Source organism: Homo sapiens, chromosome 4 (genome assembly GCF_000001405.40).
Source record: "Homo sapiens chromosome 4, GRCh38.p14 Primary Assembly".
NCBI classification, from domain to species: Eukaryota; Metazoa; Chordata; class Mammalia; order Primates; family Hominidae; genus Homo; species Homo sapiens.
Genome location: NC_000004.12, coordinates 7,159,640 through 7,172,583, shown reverse-complemented (window position 1 = coordinate 7,172,583; position 12,944 = coordinate 7,159,640). Strand labels below are relative to the sequence as shown.

Sequence of the window (12,944 nt, the reverse complement as noted above, 5' to 3'; positions counted from 1 at the left end):
TCTATGCCCAGTTCATGCCTGCTCCCCAACCCAGGACTGGCCCCATAAGGGCTCAGTACCAACTGGTTCTGTTCAGATGAGCCAGATCTGTGTTTGAGCCAAAACCTCATTGTCTCCCCCAATTCATCAACTGGAGACCCCTTTCTGAGTCAGCCAGAGTCATTTGGTGGATGGTTTTATCTTTTCTAGAAAATCAGACATTGTACCAGTGACCCACTGGTCCCTGACTGCCCTTTCTGTACTGCAAGCTCCTTGCCTTTTTTATAACAAGAGGCTCCTGTTACATGAGTAAAACCAGTAACAGGAGAAAGACTACTTAGAGTGAATCTGCTTAGAACAGAAATCAAAATGTCATGGTAAATATTGGGGGGAAAGGTGTGGTGGACTTTATGTTAGAAATGAAACAACAGAGGCCGGGTACGGTGGCTCACGCCTGTAATCCCAGCACTTTGGGAGGCCGAGGAGGGTGGATTATCTGAGGTCAGGAGTTCGAGACCAGCCTGACCAACATGGTGAAACCCCATCTCTACTAAAAATACAAAAATATTAGCAGGGCTTGGTGGCAGGCACCTGTAATCCCAGCTACTTGGGAGGCTGAGGCAGGAGAGTCACTTGAACACGGGTGGTGGAGGTTGCAGTGAGCTGAGATCACACCACTTCACTCCAGCCTGGCCAACAGAGCGAGACTCCATCTAAAACAAACAAACAAACAACAAACAAACAAAGAAACCACAAACTGGGCACTATGGCTCATGCCTATAATCTCAGCACTTTGGGAGGCTGAGGTAGGCAAATCACTTGAGCCCAGGAGTTCTAGACCAAACTGGGCAGCTTGGCAAAACCTGCTTCTGCAAAATATGCAAAAATTAGCTGGGTATGGTGGTGTGCACGTGTAGTCCCAGCTGCTCAGAAGGCTGAGGTGGAAGAATAGCTCAATCCCAAGAGGCAGAGGTTGCAGTGAGCCGTGATCTCACCACTGCACTCCAGCCTGGGTGGCAGAGCAAGAAGAAGGAGAAAGAAGAAAGAAGAAAGAAGAAGGAGAAACATCAAAAGAGAGAAAGCAGGGCTTTTGGAAGCTGAATGCTTTCCTCTTCATCATCTCCATCTCCACCATGGTTTCAGGCCGGGATGACTAATAGTTTCGACCCATGACTCTGATCCACTGGGAATGTCTGCCTGGAGCTGCCTGTCAAAATCAAGCCTTTGTGGGAAACTGTGCCTGATTGATTAGCAGTGTCTGCCCTGGGCTTGGAAATGTCAGCATCTGTGTGGCATATTTATAGTCCTGGTTTAAGGTGTTCACCCTCTTAGAGACATTTGACTTTAGTGGAAGGCTTAGGGGTTACATGCTGCATGGGTAAATTCCTAGCACTGTATATAACAGAAAGAGCTATTTTGGGGAGGGACAGAAGGAGACGGGAGACAGAACTTTTATGGAGTCCCTACCTGAAACTACAATGCTGATTTCCAATTCCACATAGAGATCAGGTCTGCAATGGAATCCTCTATCAGCCTGCAGGACATCAGATTTTCCATGCAGAGTCATAGGTGATTTTCCCTGCTCCCTTTCCAAATCGATGAAATCAAATACGGCTTGAATGGAGAAAAGGATGGCTGAGCTGTCAAGGCAAGTTCAATTTCAGTAATCACATGGAGATCTATTAGATAACTGTGCCAAGAGGTGACTGACCATATGATTGAAATACATTTATACTAAAAATATTTTAAAAGCCCTTCTCTTGATTTATACCCAAAAGAAAATATCACAAAGGAGAATGAGTTTTCATCTCAAGTAGCACTTATTCCTGATCTAACTAAATTAGCTCTTATGAACAGACAGTTTTGCTCGGGTGCCCGTAAAAAAAATAACAATAATGTGCATTTAGAGGGTGTTTTATCCTCTCCAAAGCACAGATCTTTTGCAGTGTGCAATTCCCCTCATCGGTGCTGGAGACCAGCATGACAGGGAAGGAGGGAGAGGACAGAGTCGAGGACGTGAGCGTTCCTGTGGCTGATCACATTTGGTAAAATCAGCAAATTTCAAATACATGAGAAAGCTGATTTCACTGTGCTCTGAGAGGCCTAGAGGCAAACGGGCCAGAAGCTGAGTCTTCCCTTCTGTTATAGACTGAACATTTGTGGCCCCCAAAGTTCATATGCTGAAATTCTAACCCAAATACTCAAGGGGATGGTGTTTGGAAATGGGGCCTTTGGGAGGTGATTAGAGTTAGAAGGGGTCATGAGGGTGGGGTCCTGATCTGATGGGATTGCTGCCTTGTAAGAAGAGACTCCAGAGAGCTTGCTCATGCTCTCTTGCTTTCTGCCACTCTCTCTCTCTCTCTACCATGTGAAGATGCAGTAAGAAGGCAGCTGTCTGCAAGCCAGGAAGCGAGCCCTCGCTGGAGCTGACCATGCTGGTGCCCTGATCTCATACTTCCAGCCCCCAGAACTGTAATAAATACATGTCTGTTGTTTAGGCCACTCCATCAGTGGGGTTTTGTTATGGCAGCTCTAGGAGACTAAGACAATCTGAAGTTTGAATCGGGGTCTGTTTGCTCAGCCTGCCTTAGAGACAACTGGAGAAGTGGCTTCCAGTCTCAATCCTGCCCTAACCATGGGTGGCCTCAGGATGCTTTTTTTTTTTTTTAAGACAGAGTCTCGCTCTGTCGCCCAGGCTGGAGTGCAGTGGCGCCATCTCGGCTCACTACAAGCTCCGCCTCCCAGATTCACGCCATTCTCCTGCCTCAGCCTCCCGAGTAGCTGGGACTACAGGCACCCAACACCATGCCCAGCTAATTTTAATTTTGTATTTTTAGTAGAGACGGGGTTTCACTGTGTTAGCCAGGATGGTCTCCATCTCCTGACCTCGTGATCTGCCCACCTTGGCCTCCCAAAGTGCTGGGATTACAGGCGTGAGCCACCGCGCCCAGCCAGGACGCTTTCTTTCTCAACTGGAGAACATTATCCTTTCTCTGATCTGCTCACCTGGAAGTCGTACAGGTAAAAAGAAGTGACTTGTCCAACACTAAAGTGCTGAGGTTCCCACCATCCCTCTCCCACCGCCTCCACGTCCTGCGGTAGTTCTTGGGTAATTATTTTGCTTGCATTGCCCTGCTCTTTTGCCCTGTTTAATTCCTCCCTACTCTGCTTTTAAAATTGATGCTCATTCAACATCACTTCCTCCGGGAAGTCTGCCGTGACCACTCACATCCTGACCAGGTTCACGCTTCTCCCCACCACCACCACTTCCTGCAGCCTCCTGCAGGTCCCATCTCTCTATGTTGTCACTGTCTGTTTGCATGTCTGTCTCTCCCACTGGACCACGAGCTGCCCCAGGACACAGCCTGGGAGTTATGCCCCTTCATGATCACACAGAATAGCCTTCATAGATTTTTATGGAACTGAGTTCAGCATGGGGGTCTCTGGCTGCCACCTGCAAGTTCAGCCCCATCATAGGTTCTGGGAACAGATAGGAACAGACCATCTCTTAAGTCCAGGCGGACTGGAGGAGACTGAAATCTAGCTAAGCGGATTATCATTAGTTCATAGGCCAACCTCCGATTCAAGGATCTTACTACCATGACTTTGCAAAGCAAGTCCCCTAAAATCTGCCCCAAGACAGACACAGGAGTCACGCTCTACTGCCAAACACCAGCCCTAAAATCACAAGAACCATTGACTGAGCAAGTCCTGTGTGCTGGCCTTCATGCCACCTCTTGACACCAGTCACCTCCTTGGGTCTTGTGTGGCAGGCATCAGCACCACCATTTCACAGATGAAGAGACTGAGGTTCCAAAAGGGACTGACTCAGGGCCCCATTGCTCTCAAGTGGCAGAGCTGGGGTTGGATCCCACGCCTGCCTGACTCCAAATCTAGGGGTTCTCACCAGGGTCTGGCCCACCAAGAAGGCAGCCGGATCAGTAGGGGCACTGGGCAGCCACAGAGAGCAAGGCCTTATCCCTGATTCCGGAACTCAGGTCCCAGGGTCAGTGCCTTCCCTGTGGAAGCTCTCAGTCACTCACTTACAAAGGAGTGAGCTGTTCTTTCTTTTACCCTTGACATTTTTCTATATGTTGAGATTAGTTTAATTGCAAGCGACAGCATCACAAGCTGAGCCCACAGCACAAAGGCTCAGGGGTGGAACGGCACCATAAATTTAGGAAACCGTAAATAATTCAGGGAGGGGTTTGCTGTGCAGTGGGCAGGGAGTGGCACAGTGGGCGTGAGGCTGGCGAGATGGGCTGGGAGGGTTCTGAAGGCTTCAGGCCTTACTCTACAGGCAGTGGGGAGCCACAGCGGGTTCTTGAGGCAGGGAGAGGCTCGCCCCCAGTAGCCTTCAGAAAGGGTCTCTGGGGCTGTTCACCTGGCACATTGGTGAGTGATTCTGTGCCTTCGCAGCCTCCATCACTACCTCATTCCTCTTCTCTCCAAGAAGTGTCACCTTCTAGGCCAGTGCCAGGAGTGGCTGCCTGCAATCCACCCCGACCCTGCAACATTCTGGGAAGCCAAACCCAGACTTGCTCTTTTCCCTTGGGCTTCCAGGCATTTTTATCCTCAGGTAGATTTGCCCCAACCCTACTCATGTAATGTTGATCATATAGAAAAGCGCCGGTAAAGGAAACTCAGGCCAGGCCACGAGAGGGCATTTGCTCTCATTACAGAAAACAAACAAGACTCCAGAAAGCCAGGGAGCTCCTGCCAGCTGCAATTCCAAGACTCCCCAGATGAATGATGTGTGCATAATCACACACCTTTGCACTTTTTAAATGCTTTCATCCAAAGGACCTCAGGCCCTTTGAAAATCTTGAATTTGATTCAGGGAACACTGGCTGCACACTTTCTAAGCCAAGCACCAAGCTGGGCACTGGGTAATTCCAGAATCATTGTGCATTCAGGAAAAACCTGCAAGGCTGCCTGTGTGCCTCACTCAGAGGGGCAATGGAGACGGTTCACGGGATGGACTTTTGCACCCACGTGGGCTGGCTTCCAGGAAGCCTCAGGGGCAGATGAAGCTCTCCAGGTCAGCAGGAGGAGACGACACCACTTCTAGGCCTGAAGGGGCAAAGGGAGGGGCCTGTTCCTGGAAAACAGGGCAATCTGTTGCTATAGGAGGGGCCGCCGGACAGGAGCTGCAGGCCAAGAAGGAGAAGCGCAAGCCAGGAATGAGGCCTTCCTCGCAGCCCTCCACAGGGACCAACCTTGCCGTCACCTCGACTTGGGGCTTCTGGCTTCCAAAACTGCAGGAAAATAAATTCCTGTTGTTCAAGACCCCGGGTCTGTGGTGCTTTGTGTGGCAGCTGCAGGAAACTGACCTGAAGGAACTTGACAGGAGCAGCACAGTCAGCAAGGGTGAGCTGGGACGAAGCCAGGCCCTTCTCCCTTCAGGACCTGCAGCCAGGCCTGGTCACCAACCGTGCTGCTGCCCCAGCCGAGGAGTGCGGGGATGTCCGGGCTGAGCCAGCAATGCCTGAACCCTACATGGTAATAGATGGCTGTACACGACACTATGAGGTGGCTGCTGCCACCACAGCCCATGTTGAGGGCCTGATAGACTCCCAGCCAAGCCTGGCAGGTCTCATTCCCACTGCTCCATAAAAGGCCCTTATTAAGAACTTTGCTTAATGCCCTGTGAGACACAGTCTGCGCCACCCCTCATGTCACTGGGGGCCGCTAAGACAGCAGCCTCAAATTCCCCAGATCAGAACTCCAGGGCATGGGGTAAGCCTGAACCAGGACTCACCAGTGAGTGTCGCTTCTACTGCATCGTGGCCTTTCCCTCGGGAGCAAAACTTCTTTTCGGAGCTTCGCAGACCAAAAGAGGTGGTCGAGAGAATGACCCAGGGAATTCAGGTTTGGGACCTCGGTTCCATTGTCCACCCCGATTTAAATCAAAGTACCCGGCCCGAGATTTGAATGCAAGACTTTTTATGTATCCTGAGGCCACTGTAACAAAGTCCCACAGCCTTGGTGGCTTCAACATCAGAAAGGTATTCTCTCACAGTTCTGGAGGCCAGGAGTCTGAGATCCAGGCATGGGCAGGGTGGATTCCATCTCAGGCTGCAAGGGGACTCTGTCCCAGGCCTCTCCCCTGGCTTCAGGTGCTTTGGTGGCCGCCCTTGGAGTTCCTTGGCTTGTGGAAGCCTCACCCCACCTCTGCCTTCACCTGCACACGGCATTCTCCGTGTGTGTCTCTGTGTGCAAAGTCTGCCTTTTTATAAGGACACCAGGCATACTGGATTAAGTCTGCCCTAATGACCTTTAACTTGATCATCTGTAAAGACTGTGTCTCCAGATAAGGTCACATGCTGATGTCCTGGGTGTTAGGACTTTAACACATGAATTTGGGGGTGAGACCACATCTGAACCCACAACACAATATAATACACACACAAACATGCACATGAGACAGACGTGCCCGGCTTCCCAATGACCATGAAGCATTGGCCCATGCAGCCGGGACCGCCACCCAGGTCCAGAAACACCCTCCCCCGCCCCCAGAGGCCTCGGACGCACCTCCTGCTCCTCAGCCCCAGAGGGGACCAGGACCCTGGCTGTGAAGCCTTGTAGTTTTACACCCCAGTGTGCACCTGAGCCCAGAGCTCAGCTGGGCCTGTCACCTGAACGTTGCATGGAGGCTGGCAGCTCTCATTCGACACCCCACCTGTGAGGTAGGGTCCCACCACACTGCACAGCTCAGTTTGCATCCATTTGCCCTGTATGAGCGCAGACTGAGCAACAGGGGGCAGTTGTGGGGGTCTCCTGCTGGAGCCATTACAGGCGGGGCAGCCAGGGCCTCCAGAACCGGCCTTGCGAGCCTGTGTGTCTGCCCAAGCAGGAGGAGGGCATCGGGCGAGACAGCTGGATCACAAAGGCCGAGATTCACACTCGGGACGTTCCTGCAGAAGGGCGAATTGTTTTCCCAACTGGCGGCAGCCACGGAAGGCAAGTTTCAGATACAGAAAGGAAAGTCAAACCTCTCTTCTCAAGGGCGTGCTTTCAAGTGTTAAAGGCTGGCTGTTTCTGGATGCCATCTCTGAGGCACCAATTAGTCAAACTTAGCTGGAGTCACCTCCTCACAGCCCTCACATCGGCCTCACCTGGAGACACCTCCTCACGTCACCCTCACCTGGAGTCACCTCCTCACAGCGCTCACGTCACCCTCACCTGGAGTCACCTCCTCACAGCCCTCGTGTCACCCTCACCTGGAGTCACCTGCTCACAGCCCTCGTGTCACCCTCACCTGGAGTCACCTGCTCACAGCCCTCGTGTCACCCTCATCTGGAGTCACCTCCTCACAGCCCTCGTGTCACCCTCACCTGGAGTCACCTGCTCACGTCACCCTCACCTGGAGTCACCTCCTCACAGCCCTCGAGTCACCCTCACCTGGAGTCACCTCCTCACAGCCCTCGTGTCACCCTCATCTGGAGTCACCTCCTCACAGCCCTCGTGTCACCCTCACCTGGAGTCACCTCCTCACAGCCCTCGAGTCACCCTCACCTGGAGTCACCTCCTCACAGCGCTCACGTCACCCTCACCTGGAGTCACCTCCTCACAGCCCTAATCAGCTGTTGTCCAAGGTCCCCACCTCACAGGTGAGAAGTGAGACATTCAGTGACTTGTCCATCAAGTCACACAGCAGATCTGAGATTGGAGCTCAGGCCTGTTCAACTCCAAACCACATTCAAATATGAAACAAATGCACAGAAGGCAAACAGGCAGTGAGAAGCTTTCCAATCCAACCCTCTTGTCCCAGGAGAAAACCAGGAAGGAAATACCGGACAGGGGCCCAGGAAGGAAACATGCTCCAAGCAGGCAAAGCCTTGCTTCCTTCCTCCTCACCCAGAAGCCCTTGCACTCTTGGCCCCTGGGCAGTAGGGAGTCCATGTTCTTTTTCTGTTGTATTTAATTGGCACATAGTAGTTGTACATTGTATGGGGTACGGTGGGATGTTTTGCTACACATATACAATATGTGATGATCCAATCAGGGGATATATCATATCGAGCATCTCATACATTTCATCATACCTCATCCATTTCTTTGTGGTGAGAACATTCATAACTCTCTGTTATTTGGAAATATGATTATAATATTGCCAGCTACGGTCACCCTACTGTGCTGCAGAACACCAGAACTTGGCCGGACATGGTGGCTTACACCTGTAATCCCAACACTTTGGGAGGCCAAGGCAGGCAGATGGCTTGAGCCCAGGAGTTCCAGACCTGCCTGGGCAACATGGCAAAACCCCATCTCTACAAAAATACACAAATTAGCTGAGCATGGTGGTGTGCACCTGTAGTCCCAGCTACTCGGGAGGCTGAGGTGGACTGCACTCCAGCCTGGGCAACAGAGAAAGACCCTGTCCCCAACAAAAAGAAAAAGAAAAAAGGAACACCAGGACGTATTCCTCCTAACTGGAATTTTGTACCTGTGAAGCAATCTCTTCCCAACACCCTCTCCCTAGCCTCTAGTGACCACTTTTCTGCTACTTCGGCATGTTGGTTTTTTTTGTTTTGTTTTGTTTTGTTTTTTGAGACAGAGTCTCACTCTGTCGCCCAGGCTGGAGTACAGTGGCATGACCTTGCCTCACTGCAACCTCCGCCTTCTGGGTTCAAGCAATTCTCCTGCCTCAGCCTCCTGAGTCTGGGATTACAGGCACGTGCCACCACACCCGGCTAATTTTTGTATTTTTAATAGAGATGTGGTTTCGCCATGTTGGTCAGGCTGGTCTCGAACTCCTGACCTTGTGCTCCGCCTGCCTCGGCCTCCCAAAGTGCTGGGATTACAGGCATGAGCCACCACACCCAGCCATCACCTTATGTATTTTGGATATTAACCTTTTATCAGATGTACGGTTTGCAAATATTCTCTCTCATTCTATAGGTTATCCCATCACTCTGTTGATTGTTTCCTCTGCTGTGCAGAAGCTTTTTAGTTTGATGTCACCCCTCTTGTCTATTTTTGCTTTTGTAGCCTGTGCTTTCCGGTTCTTATCCAAAAAAACCCTTGTCCAGACCAATGTCATGAAGCATTTCCCCTGTTTTCTTCTAGTAGTTTTTTCTAGTTGTAGTTTCAGGTCTTATATTTAAGTCTTTGATCCGTTGTGAGTTGATTTTTGTGTATGGTGAGTGATCAGGGTATCGTTTTATGTTTCTGCAGGTGGCTATCCAGTTTTCCCGGCAGAGAATCCATGTTCTGACTCCAGCGCGCCGCCTCAGGTGTGGGAAACCCTCAGGAACACTTCAGCGTGTTTCATGTGCCATGAGTTACAGATGAAGCCCCTAAGGAGCCCGTTCATGCAGCTGCAGCAGGTGTGCTAACACGGGAACCGTGTTGTGAGCTACTTCTGGTCTACACAGCAAGTGGACCACACCTCTCTGTTCTGGAAACCTTTGAGAGTCTATTCTCACCAGAGACAGCTCAGATAATTTATTCTTAGGCAGAATGTGGGCTTCGCCCACCTGGTTTCCTGATCATCTCTCCTGCAGTCATTCTTACAACTGTTCTCAGTGACGAAACAGTGCTTATGTTTAATCCGAAACAGAGTCCCCCGGGAAGAGCTTTCAGCGCCAGCCGTTAGTACCCTGGTAAAACCATGAACACAAACTAAGCACATCCCCTTCCTCGCAACTGCGGCCTCCCCTTACGAGGCTGTGGTGGCCGTCAAGCCAGAATCAGCGCTGTGCAGGTCACAAAGCCCATCCACAATCACGCGAACAGGGCTGTCACAGGGGAAAGGACAGGAGGGATTGCTGTGAGCTCCATGCTCCCATGAGAAAAAGGGTGTCAGGGAGGCCGAGACTTCCCGGGACATGGAGATAAAAACAGGCCCGAGCTGGGGCCCTCAGCTCACCCTTCTTCCTCCACTCCCTAAGAGGCCTCAGCATGGCACCAAGGATATCCCTCCTTTCCAGTCTTCACAGAGGGTCGGCGTGGTGGGATGGAAATGCTAATGAAGCAGTGAGGTTAAAAATAATAACTCGCCAGCCAGCCGCAGTGGCTCATGCCTGTAATCCCAGCACTTTGGGAGGCCAAAGTGAGCCAATCGCTTGAGCTCAGGAGTTCGAGACCTGCCTGGCCAAGAAACATGGTGAAATCCTGTCTCTACTAAAAATACAAAAGTTAGCCAGGCATAGTGGCACATGCCTGTAGATAGTCCCAGCTACTTGGGTGGCTGAGGCAAGAGGATTGCTTGAGCCTGGGAGTCGGAAGTTGCAGTGAACCAAGATTACACCACTGCACTCCAGCCTGGGCGACAAAGCCAGACCCTATCTCAAAATAATAATAACTGCCTGTTACGGTTGAACTGTGTACCCCCAAATCCATACGCTAAAGCGCTAAGCCCTGGTACTGCAGAATGGGACCTTATTTGGAAATAGAATCGTGGCAGATGTAATGAGTTAAGATGAGGTCACCCTGGAGGAGGGTGGCCGCTAATGTGACAGGACAGGTGCCCTGATAAAAAGGGGATATCTGGACACAGATACACACACAGGGAGAGCGCCGTGTGAAGAGGAAAGCAGGGATCAGGGATACAGAAGCTACAAAGCACCAGGGATTGCCAGCAACCAGGAACAGCCAGGAGAGGCGCCTGGAAAAGGCTCTCTCCCTAACCACACTCCAGCCAGGCCCTCCAAACCCTCTTCTCAAGCAGGCTTCAGTCTTGGCCAACAAAAATATAACCTCCCACATGGTTTCTGACAGCTCAAGGCCACATCCCTAGGATGGTGCCAGCTCCCTGAAAGTGCCTGCCTGAGAAACTCAAAGCTGCCAGAAGAATCTGCTGTTGGCTCCTGCCATGCCCAGAGATACAGCCCCGTCCCCCAGCCCATGGGGAGGGCAGGAACCTGACTTCAATGGGCACCAGCTTGCAGACTCAGGCGGGTTTCACAGGGACTGACCCCCGTCTGCTTTCTGTAATGTTTCACTCTCTGGCTCTGCTGAGCCTCTGCTCACCCTCTCCCATCCCATCATTCTCCCTTTAAAACACCCAGGTGGCCAGATGCAGTAGCTCATGCCTGTAATCCCAGCAGTTTGGGAGCCCAGGAGTTTGAGACCAGCCTGGATAACATAGTGTGACCCCATCTCTACAAAAAATACAAAAAACAAAGTATTATAGCTGGGCCTGGTGGCAAAGCTCATGGCCCTACTGCTGGGGCTCACTGCATCCTTGACCTCCCAGGCTCAGGCGATCCTCCCCCCTCAGCCTCCTGAGTAGCTGGGAGTACAGGCGCTTTGCTGCGGCGGGGCTGACCCATGCACCAAGCCCTGCCCTGGGCTGGCCTTTCCACGCCTCACCTCATTTACTGCCCCCACCACCCAGGCCAGTGACAAAGCCGTTCCTGAGCACAGCTTCCCCTCCTCTAAGCCGCCTCCTCATTTCCCGGCACGCACCCCTCCTCCCACATTGGACTCTCTAACTCCACAAAGACTCAGTTCAGCTGCCACCTCCTCCAGGAATTCTGCCCTGATTCCTGAGTCTTGATTCCCTGTCCTGAGTGCAGACAGAGGTCACTGAGCGCCTGCCCTCTAGAACAGCTGGCCTGGGCATTGCCACCAGGTGGGAGACTGGCACCCACTGGATGGCTCTGAGCACTTCCCATTTGCAAGTCTGTCTCCCCCACTAGCCTGGGAGCCCCCTGAAAGCAGGGGCCGCATCTTATGCATCCCTCACTCATGGTGCCCATTACAGGGCTCGGTATAAAGTAGACCTTCAGGGATTGAAGAAAGAAAGAAAGAAAGAAAGAATGAATGAATGAATGAATGAATGAAGGCATAAAGTGACTCGTCCAGGATCACACACACACAGTTAACAGCCCCAGTACTTCTGACTCCAAGGGCACATCACCACCCTGGCAGCAGCCACTCTAGAGATATGTGCCAGTTCCCGGAGAACGGGCGTCCTGGATTCTCTACATCCAGCCTTGTGCCGGCCTGCAACACTGTCCTCTTTCAGCAGCAGCAGCCGATGGAGTGGCGAGGCTGGCAGTGATCCCCCTGTGCTGACTGGAAAGCAAGCTCTGGTTCCAGCCAGCCTCCCTCTGGGGCAGCACCCCCTGCCCCTGAGACGCAGCAGCCCCAAGGCGGGCCTGGCCGGGCCGCTCTGCCCTGGTCTTCTCTGCAGCCTCAGACTCCAGGGCTTGGACTGGCCTCAGAACTGACATTGATTCTTCCAGATCTTCAAATTGGGCTTTTCTTTTTCTATTTAAAAACAAAATACTTAATGTAAAAGGAATGCATGCTTGTTAGAAAAAAACCCTGACAATATAGAGGTATATAAAGAAATGTATAGAGTTAAAGCGCCCCCCACTCCCCAGTCCAGCCACTGTGAACGTGTGAGTGTTGATCCTCCCAGATGTTTAACCCCCCCACACACACAGACACACGTATTTATTTTACAACCTCTAGGTTAAACATTCACCCTCTGCCTCCTAATTCCAGTGAAGTCTTGTGTACTTTGTCTAGGAGGAGATTCTAAACCATGGAACCCAACACATGGCGCTCATCAGGATATGGTTAAATTAATGTTATCTGGTGCATGGAACCAAGAAATAGCAGCCAGGTGTGTTGGCTCACACCTGTAAACTTTGGGAGGCCAAGGCGACTTGAGGCCGGGAGTTCAAGACCAGCCTAAGCAACATAGCAAGACCTTATCTCTGCAAAAAAAAGAAAAGAAAAAAAAAATTTAATTAGCCAGGCGTGGTGGTGTGTACCCGTAGTCCCAGCTACTCTGAAGGCTGAGGTGGGAGGATCAATTGAGCACGGTAGATCGAGGCTGCAGTGAGCTGTGATTGTACCACTGTACTCCAGCCTGGGAGACAGAGCAAGACCCTGTCTCTGAAAAAGAAAAGAAACGGCATTAGACTCATAGAGAAAAACATGTAATCCTACAGCACTGACACTGCCATTCCAAAAAGGAGCGTCGGAGCGTCAGCCGCAAAGAG

General features: G+C 51.5%; 5 annotated features.

The window, feature by feature from the left end:
• Positions 678 to 1,877: an enhancer, noted in NCBI's record as "MED14-independent group 3 enhancer chr4:7172434-7173633 (GRCh37/hg19 assembly coordinates)". NCBI's record gives its function as "activates an origin of replication core promoter dependent on BRD2, BRD4, P300/CBP and CDK7 cofactors, and independent of MED14, by STARR-seq in HCT116 cells {active_cell/tissue: HCT116}" and the evidence as "EXISTENCE:reporter gene assay evidence [ECO:0000049][PMID:35650434]".
• Positions 6,790 to 7,290: an enhancer, noted in NCBI's record as "H3K4me1 hESC enhancer chr4:7167021-7167521 (GRCh37/hg19 assembly coordinates)". NCBI's record gives its function as "activates a minimal SCP1, AML or CMV promoter by ChIP-STARR-seq in primed H9 embryonic stem cells {active_cell/tissue: H9 hESC(primed)}" and the evidence as "EXISTENCE:reporter gene assay evidence [ECO:0000049][PMID:30033119]".
• Positions 7,291 to 7,791: an enhancer, noted in NCBI's record as "H3K4me1 hESC enhancer chr4:7166520-7167020 (GRCh37/hg19 assembly coordinates)". NCBI's record gives its function as "activates a minimal SCP1, AML or CMV promoter by ChIP-STARR-seq in primed H9 embryonic stem cells {active_cell/tissue: H9 hESC(primed)}" and the evidence as "EXISTENCE:reporter gene assay evidence [ECO:0000049][PMID:30033119]".
• Positions 10,857 to 11,356: an enhancer, noted in NCBI's record as "H3K4me1 hESC enhancer chr4:7162955-7163454 (GRCh37/hg19 assembly coordinates)". NCBI's record gives its function as "activates a minimal SCP1, AML or CMV promoter by ChIP-STARR-seq in naive H9 embryonic stem cells {active_cell/tissue: H9 hESC(naive)}" and the evidence as "EXISTENCE:reporter gene assay evidence [ECO:0000049][PMID:30033119]".
• Positions 11,357 to 11,858: an enhancer, noted in NCBI's record as "H3K4me1 hESC enhancer chr4:7162453-7162954 (GRCh37/hg19 assembly coordinates)". NCBI's record gives its function as "activates a minimal SCP1, AML or CMV promoter by ChIP-STARR-seq in naive H9 embryonic stem cells {active_cell/tissue: H9 hESC(naive)}" and the evidence as "EXISTENCE:reporter gene assay evidence [ECO:0000049][PMID:30033119]".